Source organism: Homo sapiens, chromosome 8 (genome assembly GCF_000001405.40).
Source record: "Homo sapiens chromosome 8, GRCh38.p14 Primary Assembly".
Taxonomy (NCBI): Eukaryota; Metazoa; Chordata; class Mammalia; order Primates; family Hominidae; genus Homo; species Homo sapiens.
In genome coordinates, this window is record NC_000008.11 from 65,554,885 (window position 1) to 65,578,396 (window position 23,512).

Here is a 23,512-nt window from a genome sequence, read left to right on the forward strand (position 1 = left end):
GTATTATCTAGAGCCTGACCAAAATAATACCTCTAACTGGACTGGTGCTTAACAACTCCTCTCAGGGGTCTTTGAAACTTATTAAAATGAGTGGCCCAATTGTATTCATGTTCTACTGCATGTTATAGCAAATTACCAAAAACTACCTGGCTTAAAACAACCAAATGTAACCTCTCACAGTTCTGGAGGTCACAAGTCTAAAATCAAGGTGTCAGCAGGGCTATGCTCCCTCTGGAGGCATCAGGGTACAGTTTATTTCCTTTTCCTTGCAGGACTTCTAGAAGCACCTGCATTCCTTGACTCGTGGTCCCCTTCTCACATCACTTCAACTTCTTGCTTCCATCATCATATCTCCTACTACTGATTCAGGTCCTCCTGCCTCCCTCTTATAAAGACCCCTGCAATGACATTGGCTCATCTGGATAATCCAGAATAATCTCATCTTAAAATTCTTGACCATATCTGCAAAGTCCCCTTTACTATATAAGATGACATATTCATGGGTCTCAAGCATCAGGGCATGAACATCTTTGGGTGGCCACTGTAACAGCCTACTACATCAATGATTTCTCAATTCATCTAAAATATGTATTGACAGATTGACTATCTAAAATGTACAAGGCACACTTGGGTATTGTCAGGATCATAAGGATAAGACCAAGTTCCCAATCTTAAAGAATGTATTACCTAATAAAGCAAAATAAGATACATTCATAAATGACTCTCAGTTTAAAGATTCATATAGGCAAGCACAAGGGACAGAACAATAAGGCTCTCAGAGCCAAGTACAGGAAATTAAGTAGGACACTAAATTCAGAAAGTGCCAAAAGTTAAGGTTGTCATGGCAACATGAACTCAGCAACACAGCAAAACCTGTTCATCAAAAGTATACACTTAACAGTTTTTCACAATTATGATCTGCTGAACGAGCAGCTTTCATTCAATGATCCGGAACCTCTTACAACTATGGATTAGCTCTTTTTCTGTGGCTATAAGAAATTGTTTCACTAACCAAACTCAATTTCACAAATATTTAGATGTCATCGACTATGTGTGAGATGTGTAAGACAAGAAGCTAAGGTCTGAGGGCATGCAAAGATAGAAAAGACATCATTCTTGATCCCAAGGAACTTTTCATCCAGGGCTACGGGCATGCAAATTATGGTAGGGAAAGTCCACTAAGCAGAAAATTGCTAAGGAAGGTCAAAGGGGTGAGAGGGCTCAGACGGCTGGGGGCGAAGAAAATTCTCCTAGATTGTGTGGCATTTGAAATGGGCTTCAAATGATGAATGGGATATTTGCAAGGAAGTGGTACGGTGACAACAGCCAAATAAAAGATCCAAAGCTGGAAAGAGCAAGGCATGTAGGGAAACAGTAGCAGTCTGGCTGAAATAAAGACTACAGGAAAGAGTCAAGTTGCTTGAAATGTGAGATTTCTACTTGTCTTATAAAGCCAGGGCCTGGAATGATATGTAGTAATGTATTTAGCAGATAGCAGTATTTTTCATAAAGACATTACCAAATTTAAAAGATCAAAGGCCTCTTTCCTCTGTCTACTTTCCCTGATTCCCTACTGTAAAAATTTACTTTCAGAAAACCTCATATCTGATTTTCTCAAACTTCTTACTGTCCATGCTGTTTTGTGGCCTATATTGTTCCCCCGAAATGCAAGGCAAAAGTTATATCCATTTTCAAATAAGGAGACTGAAAATCAGAGGTAAATTTCTCAAGTTTACACAAGGAAGGCAGTGGTGACGCAGCTTATCTGTGCGACTACAAAGCCCAAGACATTTTTTTTTTACTTTATTGACCTTATCACACCGTGTTGCAATTGCTTGTTTGAATGTCTCTCTCTCCCAAGTTAAACTGTAAGGATCTTTTGGATAAGATTCATATCTTGCTCAATTTTGAATTTTTTTTTTTTTTTTTTTTTTTTTTGAGACGGAGTCTCGCTCTGTTGCCCAGGCTGGAGTGCAGTGGTGCGATCTCGGCTCACTGCAAGCTCCGCCTCCCGGGTTCACGCCATTCTCCTGCCTCAGCCTCCCGAGTAGCTGGGACTACAGGCGCCTGCCACCACGCCCGGCTGATTTTTTGTATTTTTTAGTAGAGATGGGGTTTCACCATATTAGCCAGGATGGTCTCGATCTCCTGACCTCGTGATCCACCTGCCTCGGCCTCCCAAAGTGCTGGGATTACAGGCGTGAGCCACCGCGCCTGGCAATTTTGTATTCTTAGAATCTAATTTGACAAATGACACAGAACCAGAGCCATGTGAGTTTTGTCAAATAAGGAATTATGGATTTTAGGCAAGCAGTTACTGAAGGCACAGAGTTCTTTTCTTTGTGAAAATATAGCAGTAATGTCAATTGTATGACCTGTTATAGCAAACACTTCGTCGGTTTTATTCATCACTTGGCTATTTATAAAAATACAAAAATAGATAGGAACTTCATGGAGGTCTCTTCTCTCATGTTAATTCACACTTGCATCTTTCTCTTTTTCTTTTCCGCCCAAAACTTGTTCCCAGCAATACTGAAAAAAATAAAATAATCTCCAATCCTGCTGGTATCCTCGGAGGACAAGACAAAAGTCTAGCTTCCTTGCCAATTGGGTTGTTATGGCCCATGGTCCAGAGACCCCACATCAAACTTCTCTGTAACTTGTGACACCACAGGGCACCATCAGCCTCTCAGCATCCTGTTTGAGCTGGTTCCCAGTGAAACTTTGGCCTGGATCGCGGCCTCCCTCAGCCTTTCTGTCCTCTCCCGGAAGCTTTTTATCATCTAAGAGCACTGCAATGACCATTTCCTTTTTCTAATTAGGATAAGAGAAAATCATTTGCTCTTTGGCTATTACTTCGCCTGACCCCACTAAACCCCCCAATCTCCTTTATCCTGAATTTTCATACTATGAGTTTATGTACTCTGCCTAGTGCTTTTTCTATAAGAACTGTTATATTAAGCATTTCTCAAGAGACACATTACCTACTCTTCATGCGTGGCCCTTCCCTGGTTCTAGTTTCCAAGTATTGGAAAGACTGCCAGCATCTCTTCAAAGCTACAAAGTAGAAACCTTGGAATAGTATTGAATTCATCTCCTAGCCCATACTCAGAATGCTAAATTAGTTGCCAAGTTCTGCCAATGTTTTCTGTAACAAATTTTTCATAACTACCCCTTCCCTTCTATCCCTCGCTCACGAAAGCTTTGTTGAGTTTCTTATATTTTTCCAACACTCTTTGCCTTTAGACTAGCCTTATTACTGCTGACGAAGGTATTTTCTCCACGTTCTGCTATAAATTGGGGGCTATTTCACTCTTAAACCATAATGGAATCGCACAGGCCTTTCGATCACATCAAAAGTCTTTACCGTGTGCTTCATCAAGATGCTAGGAATTACCTGAATTCTTAGCCTCCTCCCAAAACTCTCCCTCCCTTGACAGGATTATCTCCTTAATGATCCCACCCCACTCTGCTCTTTTAAGTTTTTTCTTCTGCTTCTCCATTCACTTAAATTGTTTTAGAAATTCTCTCCTTCCTTGGAGGCTTGCTAGGTAGATCCTGGACTATCAGGAAAAATTGATTTGGAAGGTCAGCATCACCTTCAAAATACAGGCACAATCTCTGTTTCCACTGCTACCCCCAGGACAGGCCACGGTCATGTCTTTCTAGGACTGCAGCAATCAGTTCTATAGGTCTCCCTTCCTGCCCCTCTGTCTGTCCTCAATACAGCAGCTCCAATAACCTTTTTAAAAATCAAATCAAATCACTTTACTCCTCCACTTAAAATCCAAAATCGTTCCCCCAGGTTACTCACAGTAAAGGCAAAGTCCTGTCCAGACTACGCAGGCCCATGTAGTCCAGCCCTCTTCCCTCCCTGAGCTGGCATCATACTCTCTCCTTCTGCAATCCACTCCCACCACAAAGGCCTGGCCTCATACTTGCCAGGCATTTGCCATCCGTCCTGCTTGGGGCACTGCTTTCCCTTCCATCCATTCCTTCAGGTCATTGTTCAAATGCCATCCCACTCATCCATGAGTAAAGCCTACCCTGACGTCCCACCTAACAATGCAATTCATCCCCTTTCCATGCTTTGTTTTTCTCCTTGGCACTGATCACCACCTCATATACTAAGAATGGTTAATTTGCTTACTGTCCCTATGTACTAAAAATTGAGTACCCTGAGGGCAAGAAGTTTTATCTCTTTTGCTCATAAAACAGTGACAAGAACAATAGCTGGCATACAGCAATTTCTCAATGCAAACTTGTTGAATGAATGAACTCAAAATATTAATTTACTACAAGTTTTCTATTTGGCCATTGTTACTATTCAAACTTCATAGAGATACAGAACATTTGGCCATTGTTACTATTTGGCTATTGTTACTATTCAAACTTCACAGAGATACAGAACATATAAAACACAGCCTCTGCAGTGCAGAGGGCACATTCACTGCTTTAACTTTCCAATGTTTTGCTCATAAGCAGCAAAACCATATTGCTTTTTCTTTTCTGCAGTCACCAACAATGCATTTGCTGCCTTCAGAACCTAAAGGGTGCCTCTTAAACACTAGACCCACATCTAGGAGTCCAGTCTACAAAACTAGACGCAGTTCAAAATGGAGCAAGAAGAGGCAGACATTATTGTAAAAGAATAATGAGGGCCAGGCTCGGTGGCTCATGCCTGTAATCCCAGCACGTTGGGAGGCTGAAGCGGGCAGATCATGAGGTCAGGAGTTCAAGACCAGCCTGGCCAACATCCTGAAACCCCATCTCTACTAAAAATACAAAAATTAGCCGGGCATGGTGGCACGTGCCTGTAGTCCCAGCTACTCAGGAGGCTGAGGCAGGAGAATCACTTGAACCTGGGAGACAGAGGTTGCAATGAGCCGAGATCAAGCCACTGCACTCCAGCTTGGGCAACGGAGTGAGACTTCGTCTCAAAAAAATAAAAAATAAAATATAGAAATAATGAGAAAATGGCTGCCTTATATGGTAAGAAAAAGTTGTGTCTAATGGTCTTGTTTACAAATCCTAGGACCTTATAAATGGAAGAGTCCGGATCTTTTTCAAGATCCTAGTTACCCAGGATATTTTTAAATATCACCTAGTTGATAAAGGTTGAGATCATCCATTGCTGCAATCCCAGAGACACCCTCCAGACCCCCCAAAAAGGCCAGATACTCGGTTTATATAACGACTGGGATACAAGATTCGATTAAAAAACACTCTTGGGACTTGAAAAGGAGTTCTGAATGTGAAATGTTACACCTGTTGTCTTATATTTGAATTTCCATTATTTGTATAAAATGTTTTCCTTCCTTTTCATGAAATAAATAAGAGTCTGAATCCCTTGGCTGAGAAATTCTGTCATAAAACAATACTTTGCCAGCGTTCGCCCCTCCGTGTGAAGTGGCAGAGATGATGAGATGATCTCCGCAGCTCGGCGGGCCTGCGGGTGAGGGGGCCGCCATAAGGCGACCACTCAGGAAAACGCTGGAGCAAACAGATGGGGCCTCCGTTGTGCCCCGAAGGCAGACAGTCCCGGCCCTGCTGGACCCGGGCGGAGCGCATTCCAGAGTCCTGCGTGCCTCCTTGACAATGCCCTGCCCCTGGCTTCCCAGACTTCAGACCTTCCCCTCCTTGATCTCTGGCACCGTGGAGGAATCGAAGAGGAAGAGGGTCCCCAGGGACAGCGCATTTCATTCCTGCCTGGCTGAATAGATAAAAGCCAACACCTGCTGGCGCAGCGAGGTGCGCCTGGAGCCAGTACTATCGGGGCCTCACAGGTGTGTGAAGACCGCAGCGGAGGGCCAAGCTCTGGGGAAGCCGTGGCCACGGAGTGCCTGGTGCAAGCCTAGAGCGGGCGCGCGCTGCCGCTGTTCACACACAGGCTTCCTCCTAGTGCTCTTAAAAAGAAGAGAGCTTCACCAACATGTTCCCACGTGTAATGTACCAGCTCTGCCCATATGGGTGTCATCATAGGATTTTATTACTAATTTCAATTGTGGTGTTCCACTTCTGAAAATGCTATTTGGTCAAAAGTTTAGATTTTAAATACTCACAGAGAAACACAAAATTGCTCCGTGCAGCATTGTAATTATAGCAACAAAAAACATGGAAAACAATATCCATCAATAGAGTTAGTTTAAAACATTATGTCACGAACATGTAATGGAATAATCTGTGGCTTATAAAAACCAAACATGGAAAGATGTCCATTATAGAGTAAATTTGAAACCTAAGTTGCAACGCAGTATCAGTGCTGTATGATCTCATTTGTTAAAATATGTAAATGTGTTCATCTTTCCTTAGAGAAATATCTGCAAGAATATTCACAAACTACCTCAAGGGATTGTGGGACTCTTCATTTTCTATTTCATATATTCCTGTATGATTTAAAAGTTTGCAACAAGCATGTCCTATTTATATAAACAAAAAGCACATTCAAGCGTGCGTATGTGTTGTGTGTGTGTGTGTGCTTGTGTGTGTGCGCGTGTGTGTGTGTAATTAAGTTTCCAAGCTTCAGGCATAATGAAATCCAAAGTAATAAATGATACAGAGTAGTGGTAATTAATTTGTTATTAATTATATCTATAGAACAGACTTATATTGTGCCTTTTATCACTTCATAAGAAATACATGACACTAAAATTAGAAAATTGAGGTCATTTATAGGAAAACAATTTTTCTTCTGAATAAAAAGCACCTGCAACTATCTATTGTTAACTCCAATTACTCCCTCTAACAAATAAGTGAAAACGTAGCTGGTAATGTAAATATAATACAAATTTAGGTGAAAACTGCAGTCTCTATGGAAATATCCTTTTTCCCCACACACTCCCTCTCTTCTTACCCCACTCACCACCCACTCCCCCACCTAAACTCAGGCTCCAATACCTGAAAACCATCTCTTTTCACTTTCTTGTTTGTTCCTAAAGGATGGTGGCATCAGGTTGTAAATCACCACAAAGAACACTCTTAGTGATGTCCCAAAATTTATTGTTCCCAGCTTTTCCAAGATTACTTATGAGAATGCTCACTGTGAAAGAAAAACATAGCCCGGCAAGTACATTTCCAAGCATTTAGACCTGGTTCTTGCTGCAAAATGTAGTGAGCAAGGAAAACAACTTTAAGACCAATAAAAATTAAAATAAAATAAAACTCTCATTACGTCTCTTATAAAAGACATGAGAAATGACTTAAAAATTCTAACTGGTTACTCTATGTTTAGAAAGGACCAAATTACAAAGGTTAGTCTATTTTTTGTTAAAGTGCACTTGTAGCAACCTCTCCATAGATGATAAATTTAAATGAACATTTCTCTGCTGCCATCTCGTGGATTATTTAGGTAATGTACTCAAAGGCAAAGGCAAATCCCACTAAAATTTTACCGGATGTGAAAAGTCATATTGATTACTTAGTCATTTATTTGACAGAACACAACATAACTTAATGTATATAGCATGCTACATATAACATATTAAACCTCATCCTAAGAACAAGGTTTAAGATCCTTTCACTTTTAAATGCTGTTAACCTTGATAGAGAAAACAAAATGCTTTTGCCATTGCATAAGCAATAATTACTACAAAAGACATTATATCTCTATGTAATAATCACTAAAAGTATCGAGATCACACCATTGCACTCCAGCCTGGGAGATGAGCGAAACTCCGTCTCAAAAAAAAAAAAAAAAGATAGGAAACAGGGCACTGCTTTACCTTTGGTTGTAATTTAGATGGTTCTGTGGGAAGAGAAGGGTGTTCACAATGCACAATACACAATGGTGGCATTATCTCGACTTCACAGATGCTCTCCTCTGCAAAGGCTGGGACCAGAGAAGGATGGGAAAGGGGCCATCCCTGGTCAGATTCTGAACATGGTCCCAGTAGCAAATGCTACTGTGATGAGAGGGGATATGTTTAATAAGTGGCTGTCACACCCACTATCAAGCAGTGTTAATGATTCATGCAGCACTTTCCAAACCGTTCCTGGATCTTCAGGTACTCCTTGGAGTAACCAAGTTTTAGAGTCAGCAATAAACCCAGAAAGGAATAAAGGGGGGGAAAAGTAGAAATCCTTGTCAGTCATAATGCATGCATTAGAGAATCAAGGAAAAAAACTGGAAAAAAATTTTGTCTACCTATCCCCTCAATTATTTCCGTAATAAATCAGAAATGTATAAAAATTTTCCATTTGGGAAGAATTTTCAATTCTATATGAGAAATTTTAAATCTTTTTGAGACACTTCAAGTTTGTTCTTCAGAAGCCCATGAACAAGATCTAAGACTTGTATTTCTTTTTTTATATATACTTTAAGTTCTAGGGTACATCTGCACAACGTGCAGGTTTGTTACAACATGTGCCATGTTGGTGTGCTGCACCCATTAACTCGTCATTTACATTAGGTATATCTCCTAATGCTATCCCTCCCCCATCCCCCCACCCCACAACAGGCCCCCATGTGTGATGTTCCCCTTCCTGTGTCCATGTGTTCTCATTGTTCAATTCCCACCTATGAGTGAGAACATGAGGTGTGTGGTTTTCTGTCCTTGCGATAGTTTGCTGAGAATGATGGTTTCCAGCTTCATCCATGTCCCTACAAAGGACATGAACTCATCACTTTTTATGGCTGCACAGTATTCCATGGTGTATATGCGCCACATTTTCCTAATCCAGTCTATCATTGTTGGATATTTGGGTTGGTTCCAAGTCTTTGCTATTGTGAATAGTGCCGCAATAAACATACGTGTGCATGTGTCTTTATAGCAGCATGATTTATAATCCTTTGGGTATATACCCAGTAATGGGATGGCTGGGTCAAATGGTATCTCTAGTTCTAGATCCCTGAGGAATCGCCACACTGTCTCCCACAATGGTTGATCTAGTTTACAGTCCCACCAACAGTGTAAAAGTGTTCCTATTTCTCCACATCCTCTCCAGCACCTGTTGGTTCCTGACTTTTTAATGATTGCAATTCTAACTGGTGTGAGATGGTATCTCATTGTGGTTTTGATTTGCATTTCTCTGACGGCCAGTGATGATGAGCATTTTTTGATGTGTCTGTTGACTGCATAAATGTCTTCTTTTGAGAAGTGTCTGTTCATATTCTTCGCCCACTTTTTGATGGGGTTTTTTCTTGTAAATTTGTTTGAGTTCTTTGTAGATTCTGGATATTAGCCCTTTGTCAAATGAGTAGATTGCAAAAATTTTCTCCCATTCTGTAGGTTGCCTGTTCACTCTGACGGTAGTTTATTTTGCTGTGCAGAAGCTCTTTAGTTTAATTAGATCCCATTTGTCAATTTTGGCTTTTGTTGCCATTGTTTTTGGTGTTTTAGACATGAAGTCCTTGCCCATGCCTATGTCCTAAATGGTATTGCCTAGGTTTTCTTCTAGGGTTTTTATGGTTTTAGGTCTAGCATTTAAGTCTTTGATCCATCTTGAATTAATTTTTGTATAAGGTGTAAGGAAGGGATCCAGTTTCAGCTTTCTACATATGGCTAGCCAGTTTTCCCAGCACCATTTATTAAATAGGGAATCCTTTCCCCATTTCTTGTTTTTGTCAGGTTTGTCAAAGATCAGATAGTTGTAGATGTGTGGTATTATTTCTGATGGCTCTGTTCTGTTCCATTGGTCTATATCTATGTTTTGGTACCAGTACCATGCTGTTTTGGTTACTGTAGTCTTGTAGTATAGTTTGAAGTCAGGTAGCATGAAGCCTCCAGCTTTGTTCTTTTGGCTTAGGATTGTCTTGGCAATGTGGGCTCTTTTTTGGTTCCATATGAACTTTAAAGTAGTTTTTTGAACTTTAAAGTAGCTTGATGGGGATGGCACTGAATCTATAAATTACCTTGGGCAGTATGGCCATTTTCACAATATTGATTCTTCCTATCCATGAGCATGGAATGTTCTTCCATTTGTTTGTGTCCTCTTTTATTTCATTGAGCAGTGTTTTGTAGTCCTCCTTGAAGAGGTCCTTCACATCCCTTTTAAGTTGGATTCCTAGGTATTTTATTCTCTTTGAAGCAATTGTGAATGGGAGTTCATTCGTGATTTGGCTCTCTGTTTGTCTGTTATTGGTGTATAAGAATGCTTGTGATTTTTGCACATTGATTTTGTATCCTGAGACTTTGCTGAAGTTGCTTATCAGCTTAAGGAGATTTTGGGCTGAGACAATGGGGTTTTCTAAATATACAATCATGTCATCTGCAAACAGGGACAATTTGACTTCCTCTTTTCCTAATTGAATACCCTTTATTTCTTTCTCCTGCCTGATTGCCCTGACCAAAACTTCCAACACTATGGTGAATAGGAGTGGTGAGAGAGGGCATCCCTGTCTTGTGCCAGTTTTCAAAGGGAATGCTTCCAGTTTCTGCCCATTCAGTATTTCTACACCTATTGTCCCACTACCACCTTTGAGCGGGTTGCTACTCAGGCATAATATATACAATAAATCCCTTTTAAAGAAAGATGGGAGGCCAGGTGCAGTGGCTGACGTCTGTAATCTCAGCACTTTGGGAAGCTGAGGCGGGTGGATCACCTGAGGTTAGGAGTTTGAGACCAGCCTGGCCAACTTGGTGAAACCGCATCTCTACTAAAAACACAAAAAATTAGCCGAGAGTGGTGGCACACGCCTGTAATCCCAGCTACTCAGGAGACTGAGGCCGGAGAATCGCTTGAACCCCAGAGGTGGGGGTTGCAGTGAGACGAGATCACACCATTGCACTCCAGCCTGGGCAACAAGAGCGAAACTCCATCTCAAAAAGAAAAAAAAAAGGGGGGAAAGCAGAGCGCTGCTGCTGTGTGCTCTCAGTTGGATATTTCTTTACCTTTGGTTGTAATTTAGATGGTTCTGTGGTAAGAGAAGGGTGTTGGCCTAACAGATCATGTCTTCTGAGCTAGATCCTGGCCTCCAAGATTCTATTTCTCCATTATATTCTAGAACCTAAGTTTGGAAGGCTTCGACATGGAATATTGGATACTCCAAGAGTAGAGCCTGGGATTGGTAGATTTAGGGGGAAAAAATAGAACACCCAGTTCAATTAAAATTTCAGAAACACAACAAACAATTGGGGCATATTTACCCTAAAAAGATCCTTGTTATTTATCTGAAAGTCAAATTTCTAATGGACATCCTGAATTTTATCTAGTAACCTCACATAAATTTTCTCCTTCCCCAAAGTACTGTTGATGCCAGTTAAAGAAAATGGATATTGCAACTAGGAAAAATAGACTGGTTCTCTTTCTCACATAAAGTTATTTTTTAATCATTAAGATAAAATAGCAGCGTGGTGGCTCACACCTGTAATCCCAGAACTTTGGGAAGCCCAGGCAGGAGGATTGCTTCAGCTCAGAAGTTTGAGACCAGCCTGGGCAAACCCTTTCTTTACAAAATAATTTTTTTAATTAAATTATAAAAAGATAAAATAGCATAAGAATACACTGAGTAAGAGGTTTTCCAAATATTATGGGGAAAAAACAAGGCAAATTATATCAAGGTTATAATTTAACGGTAGAATTGAAGGTTGGTGGAATTATCTAGTTTAGGCATTCAGATATTTGGTAAGCACCATGTTAGATAGGCACCATCCATGCTGGACACGGGGAAGAAGATGAACAAGGCACAGCCCCTGTTCCCAAGAAGCTCACAGTCTAGTAGAGGAAAGAGACAAAAAGAGATGGCGAACATGTGATATAAATAGAAATATAAAGGAAATGGGGATTTCATCCTGTCCTCTCCCCTCTCCCCTGCACCCTAGTAAAGCCTACAGTGCCTGGTCTCATCACTAATGAGATGTGACTATCAGGTGAAGAGATTTATTTAAAAGAAATAGACTAGAACTGTCTGCACTGATTCTTGGTAAACATCAGAACCTATACATTGTCTGCCAGAAAATAAAATGTCAAAGCTGGTAATAACCTTGGAGATCTCATCTAGCATGTGCGTTTTATGAAACAGAAGCCTGCCATCCCCCAGCCAGCAGTCATCAAAGCAGCTGACTCCTAGTCTACAAACTTCATCTAGAGTTTTTCCTAGCTGCTGCTTCCTTAGGTGAGGTCTAACAATGAAGATGGTTTGGCCCATATCTCAGTTTCCAAATAATTTATTAATTCATCCTTCCAGCGACCAAAACTATTAAAGCAGAGAGAATTATAAAAAGAGTTACAAGAAAGCCTGCTGCCTAAATTGGAACTAACACTCCAACCAAAGTAACATGCAGAGTGAGCTTAGGAAAGTAAAGGAAAAAAAATTATTAACATCGGAGGTGATGCTTCCACCTTATTCAGCAAATAAAATCTACTCATCCCATCCTTTGTCCTCATATAGTTGCTTCTAAAGGCTAATCTCTGGACTTTGATACAAACTAACCAGGAAAATTCACATTGTGTTGACAGTTCACAGAAGCAGGTAGAGGGTAGACATGGACTGATAAACTACTCATGTTAGTTATTTATGCTAAAAGTCCTACTTGTTACGTTAACTTAAAAGAATAAAGAGGGGGAAAAGGAAAGAATAGAGCTGAGATCCAGTCTCTGAGAAAAGGAGAAAATGGCATCAAAGTAGTAGAGGATATGTCTTCATTTTCCTCTTAGTTCCAGTTCTTCCAGTCTCCCTTTCCCTAGGACATCTTCCTCTTTGAAGTCCTTGATGTCATGTTGAGAAAGTCTTCTCTCTCTCTCCCATGTTCCCATATGTGTAAGTATAGCATAGGCTGATCTCTTCTAGAAATAGAAAAATTGATTAAGACCATTCTCAATAAAATGTGAGTGATTAATAGTTTTCAACCTTCTCAATCCACCCAGTAGCACCTCCCTGTTCTAGAAAAACTGGTGAAATTTCAGATATAAACACAGACATACTTTTAATCATCAAGGGTTTAGGCTGGATGCAGAAGCTCACATCTGTAATCTCAGCTCTTTGGGAGGTTGAGGTGGGAGGATGGCTTGAGCCCAGGAGATCAAGGCTGCAGTGAGCTGTATATGCTCCACTGCACTCCAGCCTGGGCAACAGAGCAAGACACTGTCTCAAACACGCACACACACACACACACACATACACACACAAAAGGTTTATTTCTCTGCCTACCCCTCCACACATACTCACATACATCTGTAACAGTGAGATATAAGGGACCTCTGGACAATTTTTAAGGTACATACTTACCACTCCCCAGTTTACTACCCTCCATCTCAGTAAAATGCCCAATACTCATTTACCTTTTGCCCCTACTTATTCAAAACGCCCAATATTTATCTATATTATATTATTGCAGAAAGTATTTGTTATGTGTTATGGCTAGGACTCCCTGTCCTGAGGTTACCCCATTTTGCTCTGTTCGGCCGTATCCTGCTACAGTCAGCCTTTGTGTTTGAATCTACTCTGCAACCTAGGCCAAAACTCTATGGTCAGACAGGCTCTTCCCTAATGGAAGAAAGATGACTATGGCTGCACTAGTGTACACCTTCCCACTTCCATTCCCACAGCAACTGGAATTTGTTTAGGAATGTGTCCAGTCAGAGACAGCACACTGCAATGAGACCCCTACTGGGAACTCTAGGAAAAGGACTTCACTCATTCTCATGGAATATTAGCTTGTGTGGGTTGAGCCTGCTGCTGCCTATTGCTACCATGAAGGGAGAGTGAGAATGGAGCTACAACAAACAAAGGTAAGATGAAAATGGAAATCAGGTCCTTGTGACATCATTTAAGCTCCTATATCAAACTAAACTATACCCAAAGTAAGCCCTACTACTGAACTTTTTAGTTTTGTGAGCATTAAGTTCCTTCTTTCCTTATGCAGTGTAGGAAGTGATTTTCTATCACTTGCAATTAAAAGAAGTTGATATCATTAGTATACTTAGGAATATCTGAGACAATAGGTGAGATATGCCCCTCTAAAAAACAGGACTAAGTGCCAGAAAGATTCCTTAAAATCAAAAGTATCGTTTCCTCAATTAAAATTTCAATAAAAGGCCTAGAAGAGAAAGTTGGGAAAATGTCTCAGAATGTAAACCAGAAAGATGAAACCATGGAAAATACAAGAAAAAAGTTGGAGAATGGAGATCAACTGAGGAAGCCTAATATTAGTCAAATAGTCATTACAGGAGGAAAAAAGAGACAACTAACTGGGAGAAAATAGAAGAAAATTCTTAGAGCTAAAAAGATGTAAGTGTACAGCACAAAATGCCGTTAGGATAAATAAAAAGATTTATACCTAAGTGTATCCTTATAGAACTACAGGACTCCAAGGAAAAGGTGAATATCCTAAAGCTTCTAGACTAAAAACAGTTTCCCTACAGAAGAATGGAATTTTACGTAATATTAGATTTCTCAACAGGGTCCCTGAATATTAGAAGACAATGTCTTTAAAATTAGGAAGAAAAAAAATCGTATGGACCTACAATTCTATCCTACATAGTACTGGACGTTCTGACCAATGCGACAAAAAAAAAATAAGGACTGGAAGGAAAAAGATCAAACTGATTATTTGTAGATGCTTTTATCTCCAAAGCAGTTAACTCTTAGACCTAATAAGAGAGTTGAGCAAAGTTCCCAACTAAAAGATCAACTTATCAATAGTGTTGTTCTGCACTCATCATTTAGAAAAGATAACTGAAAGTAAGCTACCGTTCACAGCAGCAACAAAATCAAGTGTGAGGAAAAAACGCTTTATAGATATAAAAGTACTATTTTGACACACCCTTCTGGAAAAATTACATAGCATCTGAAAAAAATGACACCAACCCAGGGAGTGCAATGAGAAGAAATGCCCAGATGGCAGCTCTGTGGCTGGAACACGAAGTTAGAAGGTATAAAAAGAATGTCTATGCAAATCAAAACCACAATGAGATACCATCTCACACCAGTTAGAACTGCAATCATTAAAAAGTCAGGAAACAACAGGTGCTGGAGAGGATGTGGAGAAATAGGAACACTTTTACACTGTTGGTGGGACTGTAAACTAGTTCAACCATTGTGGAAGACAGTGTGGTGATTCCTCAGGGATCTAGAACTAGAGATACCATCTGACCCAGCCATCCCATTACTGGGTATATACCCAAAGGATTATAAATCATGCTGCTATAAAGACACATGCACACATATGTTTATTGCGGCACTATTCACAATAGCAAAGACTTGGAACCAACCCAAATGTCCAACAATGATAGACTGGATTAGGAAAATGTGGCGCATATACACCATGGAATACTGTGCAGCCATAAAAAGTGATGAGTTCATGTCCTTTGTAGGGACATGGATGAAGCTGGAAACCATCATTCTCAGCAAACTATCGCAAGGACAGAAAACCAAACACCGCATGTTCTCACTCATAGGTGGGAATCGAACAATGAGAACACATGGACACAGGAAGGGGAACATCATACACCGGGGCCTGTTGTGGGGTGGGGGGATGGGGGAGGGATAGCATTAGGAGATACACCTAATGTTAAATGACGAGTTAATGGGTGCAGCACACCAACATGGCACATGTATACATATGTAACAAACCTGCACATGTACCCTAAAACTTAAAGTATTAAAAAAAAAAAAAAGAACGTCTTCAATGTCGGAATGGACTTCATTCTACAAATCATAGATTAGGAGGCTGAAAGAACTTAGTGAGATGGCCAAGAAGAATTATTTTTTTCTCAACAAGAATTTAAAAAGCCACACTAGAACTCTGAGAAAAATTTGAGAAATTACAAAAAAGTCATCAGCCAAATAGGAAGCATTCTCCTTCAAAGGCACAGGTTTAGTGAAGCAGGAGTATATGTCCTTCTCTGCTGTTCCAATCCTACTGACTCAGTGTTAAATAATATTACATGTTTACATAATGAGACTATATATTTAAATTTCATAATGCTAATAATTTAAATGCTGTATTTATTTCTAACTTGTTTATTTGTTTGTTTGTTTTAGAGATAGGATCTCACTGTGTGGCCCAGGCTGTGTCGCCCATGCAGTGGCATGATCATAGCTCACTGCAGTTTCCAACTTCTGGGCTCAAGCAATCCTCCTGCCTCAACCTACTAGGTAGCTGGCATTACAGGTACTGGCTGTACCTGGCTTATTTATTTTATTTTTGTTTTTTGAAACAGAGTCTCACTGTGTCACCCAGGCTAGAGTGCAGTGGCACAATCTTCGCTCACTGCAGCCTCGACCTCCAGGCTCAGGCGATCTTCCCACTTCAGTCTCTCAAGTAGCTGGGATTACAGGCTCACTCCACCATGCCTGGCTAATTTTTTGTAGAGACAGGGTTTCGCCATGTTGCCCAGGCTGGTCCTGAACTCTGGGCTCAAGTGATTCTCCCGCCCAGACCTCCCAAAGTGCTAGGATTGAAGGTGTGAGCCACCATGCCCGGCTTATTTTTTTATTGATATATAATATTTAAAAATCAATGGGGTACATGTGATATTTTGTAACATGCATAGAATGTGTAATTATCAGGTCAGGTGAGGGTATTGAGGTGTCGTCCATCACTCTGAGCATTTATCATTTCTACATATTGGAAAGAACTCAAGTCCTCTCTTCTAGCCACTTTGAAGTATACAATACATTGATGTTAATGATAATCACTCTTCTCTGCTGTGGAACAATAGAACTTCTACCTTTTATCTAACTGTATTTGTGTACCCCTTAACTTACCTCTTTTCATACCCCAACCACACCCACCCACCTTTGAAACCTACCATTCTACTGTCTATCTTTATGAGATCAACTATTTTAGCTCCCACAAATGAGAACATGCAATATTTGTCTTTCTAGGCCTGGCTTATTTCATTCAACATAATGACCTCCAGTTCCACCATGTTGCTGCAAATGACATGATTTCTTTTTTTTTGAGACAGCGTCTTGCTCTTTTGCCCAGGCTGAAGTGCAGTGGCACAATCTTGGCTCACTGCAAGCTCCACCTCCTAGGCTCAAGCAATTATTGTGCTTCTTGGTCTCCGCAGTAGCTGGGACTACAGGCGCCCACCACCACATCTGGCTAAGTTTTGTATTTTTAGTAGAGATGGGGTTTCACCATGTTGGCCAGGCTGGTCTCAAACTCCCAGGCTCAAGTGAGCCTCCCAATTCGGCCTCCCAAAGTGCTGGGATTACAGGTGTGAGCCACCAAGCCCAGCCTTATTTCATGATTTTTTCATGGTTTAATAGTATTTCATTGTGTATATATACCACATTTACTTTATCCAGTTATCCATTGATGGACAGTTAAGTTGATTACATATCTTTGCTATTGTGAATAGTATTGCAATAAACACGTCCCTTTGATATACTAATTTCTTTTCCTTTGGGTAGGTATCCAGGAGTGGGATTAATGGAACCTATGGTAGTTCTATTTTTAGTTTGCTGAGAAATTTCCATACTGCTTATCATAGAGGTTGTACTAATTTACATCCCCACTAACAGTGTATGAGAATGCCCTTTTCTCCACATCCTCACCATCATCTATTATTTTTTTACTTTTTAGTAATAGCCATTCTAACAGGATAAGCTGGTATCTCATGGTGGCTTTGATTTGAATTTCCCTGATGACTAGTGATGTTGAACATTTTTTCATATACCTGTTGTCCATTTGTATGTCTTCTTTTGAGAATTATCTATTCATGTATTTGCCCAGTTTTTAATGGGATATTATTATTATTGAGTTTCTTGAATTCCTTGTATATTCTGGATATTAGTCCCTTATCAGATGAACAGTTTGCAAATATTTTCTCCCATTCTACAGGTTGTTCATTCTATGACTGTTTCCTTTGCTGGCAGAAGCTTTTTAGTTTAATTAAGTCCCATTTGTCTATTTTTGTTTTAGTTGTCTGTGTTTTGTCTTTTTTTTGTCTTAATCACAAAATCTTTGCATAGGCCAGTATCCTGAAGTACTTTCCCTATGTTTTCTTCTATTCGTTTTATAGATTCAAGTCTTATGTTTAAGTCTTAAATCCATCTTGGTAGATTTTTTCGTATGTGATGAGAGGGGTCTAGCTTTATTCATTTGCATATGGATATCCATTTTTTCCAGCACCATTTATTGAAGAGGGTGTCATTTCCCCAGTGCATGTTCCTGGTGCTTTTGTCAAAGATCAGTTGGCTGTAAATATGTGGCTTTATTTCTGGGTTCTCTATTCTGCTCCATTGATCTGTGTATCTATTTTTATACCAATAACATGCTGTTTTGGTTACTGTAGCCTTGTAATATATTTTTGAAGTCAGGTGGTATGATGTTCCAGCTTTGTTCTTTTTGCTCAGGATTGCTTTAGTTATTTGGGCTCTTTCTGTTGTTGTTGTTCCACATGAATTTTCTAATTATTTTTTTCTAATTCGGTGAAAAGTAACTTTGGTATTTTCATAGGGATTGCATTGAATCTGTAGATTGTTTTAGGCAATATAGTCATTTTATTAATTGGTCAATGTGGTAATTTCCAGTCCACGAACATGGAATGTCTTTCCATTTGCTTGTGTCCTCTTTAATTTCTTTCATCAGTGTTTTGTTGTTCTCCTTGTAGAGGGCTTTCACCTTCTTGGTTAAATTTACTTTTAGGCTTTTTTTGTAGCTATTGTAAATGAGATTGCCTTCTTGATTCCTTTTTTGGCTATTTCATTATTGGTGTATAGAAGTACTACTGATGTCTCTAAAACAACCATTGGATTTTTTAGAATTTTAAAAATAAAGAAATGCTATTGATTTTTGTAATGTTGACTTCATCTGCAACTCCTAGCCTCAAGCGATTCTCTCACTTCAGCCTCCCAAGTAACTGAAATTACTGACACACTATATGTTGATTTTGTGTACTGAAACTTTTCTGTATTTGTTCATCAGTTCTAAGAGGTTTTTGGTGGAATCTTTCGGTTTTTCTGAATATAAGATCATGTCATCCACAAAGAGGGGCAATTTGATTTCTTTTTTTTTTTTTTTTTTTTTTTTTTTGAGACAGAGTCTCACTCTGTTGCCCAGGGTAGAGTGCAGTGGCATGATCGTGGCTCACTGCAACCTCTGCCTCCTGGGTTCAAGTGATTCTCCTGCCTCAGCCTCCCCATTAACTGGGACTACAGGCACACACCTCCACGCCTGGCAAATTTTTTGTATTTTTAGTAGAGACGGGGTTTCATCGTGTTAGCCAGGATGGTCTTGATCTCCTGACCTCATGATCTGCCCACCTCAGCCTCCCAAAGTGCTGGGATTATAGGCATGAGCCACTGCACCTGGCTGATTTCCTCTTTTCCCAATTTGGATGCTGATATGGTTTGGATGTTTGTCCAAATCTAATGTTGAAATATAATCCCTAATTTTGGAGGTGGGGCCTGGTGGAAGGTGTCTGGATCATGGAGGCAGATCCCTCATGAATGGCTTAGCACCATCCCCTTGGTGATGAGTGAGTTCTTGCTCAGTGAGTTCACATGAGATCTGGTTGCTTAGAAACCTGGGATCTCCCTCCTCTTCTTGCTTCCTGTCTCACCATGTGATACGTCTGCTCCCGCTTCGCCTTCTACCACTATTGAAAGCTTCCTGAGACCCTCACCAGGAGCAGATGTTGGCAACATGCTTCCTGTACAGATTGCAAACCATGAGACAATCAAACCTCTTTTCTTTATCAATTACCCAGCCTCAGGTATTTCTTTATAGCAATGAAAGAATGGACTAACATAGATGCCTTTTATTTCTTCCTCTTGCTGATTGCTCTGGCTAAGACTTCCAGAACTATGTTGAACAGGGGTGGTGAAAGTAAGCATCTTTGTCTTGTTCCAGTTCTTAGAAGAAAGGCTTTCAACTTTTCCCCATTCACTAAGACATTAGCTGTGGGTTTGTAATACATGGTCTTTATTATTTGAGGTATGTTCCTCCTATATCTACATTGTTGAGCATTTTATCATGAAATAATGTTGAATTTTACTAAATGCTTTTCTGCATCTATTGAAATGATTATATAGTTTTTCCTTGATTCTGTTGATGTGATGTGTCACGTTTATTTATTTGCACCTGGGCACGGTAGCTCACACCCAGCACCTTAGGCGGCTAAGATAGGAGGAATTCTTGAGTCCTGGAGTTCAAGACCAGCCTAGGCAACAGAGCAAGAACCTGTCTCTACATTTTTTTTTATTTAGTTGGGCATGGTGGTGTGCATCTGTAGTCTCAGCTACTCAGGAGACTGAGGCAGAAGGATCACTTGAGCTCAAGAGGTTGAGGCTAAAGTGAGCCATGATCATGCCATTCCACTCCAGCCTGGGCGAGAGAGAGAGATCCTCTCTAAAAAAAGTTTTTAATTAAAAATCTAAAAATAAAAAATAGTGATTTGTATATGTTAAGCCATCTTTGCATCCCTGGCATAAATCCCAAATTGTCTCGATGCATTATCTTTTTATATGCGGTTGAATTTGGTTTGACAGCTTGTTTTTGGTTTCTTGTGTTTTTGTTTTGTTTTGAGAGAGTCTCGCTGTCACCCAGGCTGGAGTGAAGTGGCATAATCTAGGCTCACTGCAACCTCTGCCTCCTGGGTTCAAGTGATTCTCCTGCCTCAGCCTCCCAAGTAGCTGGGATTACAGGCATGCACCACCACACCCGGCTAATTTTTGTATTTTTACTAGAGACGGGGTTTCACCATGTTGGCCAGGCTGGTCTCAAACTCCTGGCCTCAAGCGATCTGCCCGCCTTGGCCTCCCAAAGTGCTGGGATTACAGGTGTGAGCCACTGTGCCTGGCCGATTTGACAGTATTTTTTTAGGATTTTTGTATCTATGTTCATCAGTGATATTGGCCTGTAGTTTTCTTTCTTTGTTGTATCCTTCTCTGGTTTGGTATCAGGGTAATGCTGGCCTCACAGAATAACTTAGGAAGAATTTTCTATTCTTCAATTTTTTGGAATAATTTTAGGAGGACTGATATTAGTTCTCTATGTTTGGTAGAATTTGGCAGTAAATTCATCCTGCCCTAGGTTTTTCTTTGCTGGGAGACTTTCTATTACTGATTCAATCTCACTACTCATAATTAGTTTGCTCGGGTTTTCTATGTTTTCCTCATTCAATCTGGGTAGGTTATACGTTTCAAGGAATTTAACCATTTTCTCTAGGTTTTCCAGTTTCTTAGTGTACAGATGTTCATAATAGTATCTGGTGATCTTTTGTATTTCCATAGTGCCAATTGTAATGTCTCCTTTTCCATTTCTGATTTTGCTTATTGGGTCTTCTCTCTTCTTTCCTTGGTTTGTGTAGCTAGCAGTTTATCAATTTTATTTATCTTTTCAAAGAATCAGCTTTTTTTCATTGATTCTTTGAAATTTTTTTAAGTCTCCATTTTATTTAGTTCTGATCTTTATTATTGCTTTCCTTCCAATTTTGGATTTGGTCTGTTTGCTTTTCTAGTTTCTAAGATGCATTATTAGATTGTGTATCTGAAATCTTTTTACTTTTTGATATAGATGTTTATTGCTATAAACTATCCTCTTAGTACTACCTTTGCTGTATTGCACAGATTATAGTCTATTGATTTTCATTTTCAAGAAATTTTTTTATTTTCATTTTAATTCCTTTATTGACTCAATGTTCATTCACGGGCATGTGTTCAATTTCCATGTATTTGTATAGTTTCCAAAGTTTCTCTTGGTATTGATTTCTAGTTTTATCCCACTGTGTCTAAGAAGATACTTGATATGATTTCAGTTTTTCTAAATTTGTTAAGACTTGTTTTGTGGCCTGACATATGGTCTATCCTAGAGAGTGTTCCATGTGCTGATGAAAAGAATGTGTATTTAGCAGTTGTTAAATAAAATGTTCTGTAAATGTCTGTTTAGAACCATTTGGTCCAAAGTCCAGTTTAAATCCATTGCTTTTTGTTGATTTTCTGCCTGGATGATCTGTCTAATGATGAAAGTGGGGTGTTGAAGTCTCCCACTATTATTGTACGGGAGTCTCTCTCTTTAGATCTGGTAATATTTGCTTTATGAATCTGGGTGCTCCATTGTTGGGTGCATATATATTTTGCTTGTTATTTCCTTCTGGTGAATTGATCCCTTTGTCATTATATAATGACCTTCTTTGTCTGTTTTACTATTTTAGCTTAATGTCTTGTTTACCTGATATAAGTATACTTACTATTGCTTGCTTTTGGTTTCTGCTTGCATAGAATACCTTTTTCCATCTGTTTACTTTCAGTCTATACATATCTCTACAAGTAAAATCAATTTCTTCTAAACAGTGTATAGTTGGATCATTGTTTTAATCCACTCAGCCAGTGTATATCTTTTAAGTGAAGAATATAATCCATTTATATTCAAGATTATTATTGTTATGTGAGGTTTTTTTCTGTTATATTTTTTATTATTCACTGGTTGTTTTGTACATTCTTTGTTCCTTTCTTTTTCTCTTATTGGTTTGGTGGTTATCTATAGTGGTACCATTTGAGTCCTTCTCTTTCTCATGTATGTGTTTGCTTTGCTAGTGAGTTGTATACTTTTGTGTGTTTTCATGATGGTAAATGTCATCCTTTTGCTTCCAGGTTTAGGAATCCCTTGAGCATTTTTGCAGGGCTAGTGATGAATTCTCCTACTTTTATTTGTGTAAGAAAGACTTTTTCTCCTTCATTTATAAAGGATAATTTTGCTGTATATGTTATCTTGGCTGGCAGTTGTTTTCTTTCAGCACTTCAAATACATTATCCTTTTCTCTCCAGGCCTATAACATTTCTGCTGAGAAACCTGCTATTAATCTGTTTGCCTGATGGGGGTTCCTTTAAAGGTAACTAGACACTTTTCTCTTGCTGTTTTTAGAATTTGTCGTTGACTTTCAACATTTTGACTATAATGTGCTGTAGAGATCTTTTGCATTGTATCTGTTTGGGGATTACTGGGCCTCCTGTTTCTGGATGTCTAAATCTCTTGCTATACTTGGGAAGTTTACATCTATTATTTCATCACATTGATATTTGAATGCTTTCATTCTCTCTTCGCCTTCCAGGATACCAATAATTTCTTTATTTGGTCACTTTATGGTCTCCCATGTATCAAGAAGGCTTTGTTCATTCCTTTTTATTATTTTTCTTTATTTTTCTCTGACTAGGGTATTTCAAAAGATCTGTCTTTAAGTTCTAAGATTCTTTTCTCTTTTTTTTTTTTTTTTTTTTCTTTTTTGGAGACAGGACTCACCTGTCACCCAGGCTAGAGTGCACTGCAGCCTTAAACTCCTGGGCTCAAATGATCCTCCCACCTCGGCCTCCCAAAGGTTGGGAATACAGGTATGAGGCACCGTGCCCAGTGATTCTTTCTTCTGTTTGATCTACTCTGTTGTTGAAGCTTTCAAATGTATTTTGTGATTAATTAAATGAATTCTTCAGTTCCAGATTTTCTGTTTGGTTCTCTTTTATGATATCTATCTCCTTGGTAAATTTCTTATTTATATCCTGAATTGTTTTTCTGATTTATTTGTATTTGTATTGTTTTTTCAGTTAGGTGCAAGCCACCTGCTGGTCTAGCCTTGTGCCTCAGCCCCTGGTGCAATGGCTTATGGTTGCTTGCACCTGAGAGTC

General features: G+C 39.5%; 1 long non-coding RNA gene across 1 annotated transcript in view, besides 1 other annotated feature; it reads right to left on the bottom strand.

The window, feature by feature from the left end:
* Positions 1-7,782, bottom strand: part of LINC01299 (long intergenic non-protein coding RNA 1299) — a 35,659-nt gene extending 27,877 nt beyond the window's left edge. The window contains exon 1 of the long non-coding RNA NR_033893.1: positions 7,722-7,782. This is a non-coding gene — a long non-coding RNA (long intergenic non-protein coding RNA 1299). The remainder of the gene's footprint in view (positions 1-7,721) is intronic.
* Positions 5,685-6,384: an enhancer, noted in NCBI's record as "H3K4me1 hESC enhancer chr8:66472804-66473503 (GRCh37/hg19 assembly coordinates)". NCBI's record gives its function as "activates a minimal SCP1, AML or CMV promoter by ChIP-STARR-seq in naive H9 embryonic stem cells {active_cell/tissue: H9 hESC(naive)}" and the evidence as "EXISTENCE:reporter gene assay evidence [ECO:0000049][PMID:30033119]".
* Positions 7,783-23,512: the final 15,730 nt, after the last annotated feature.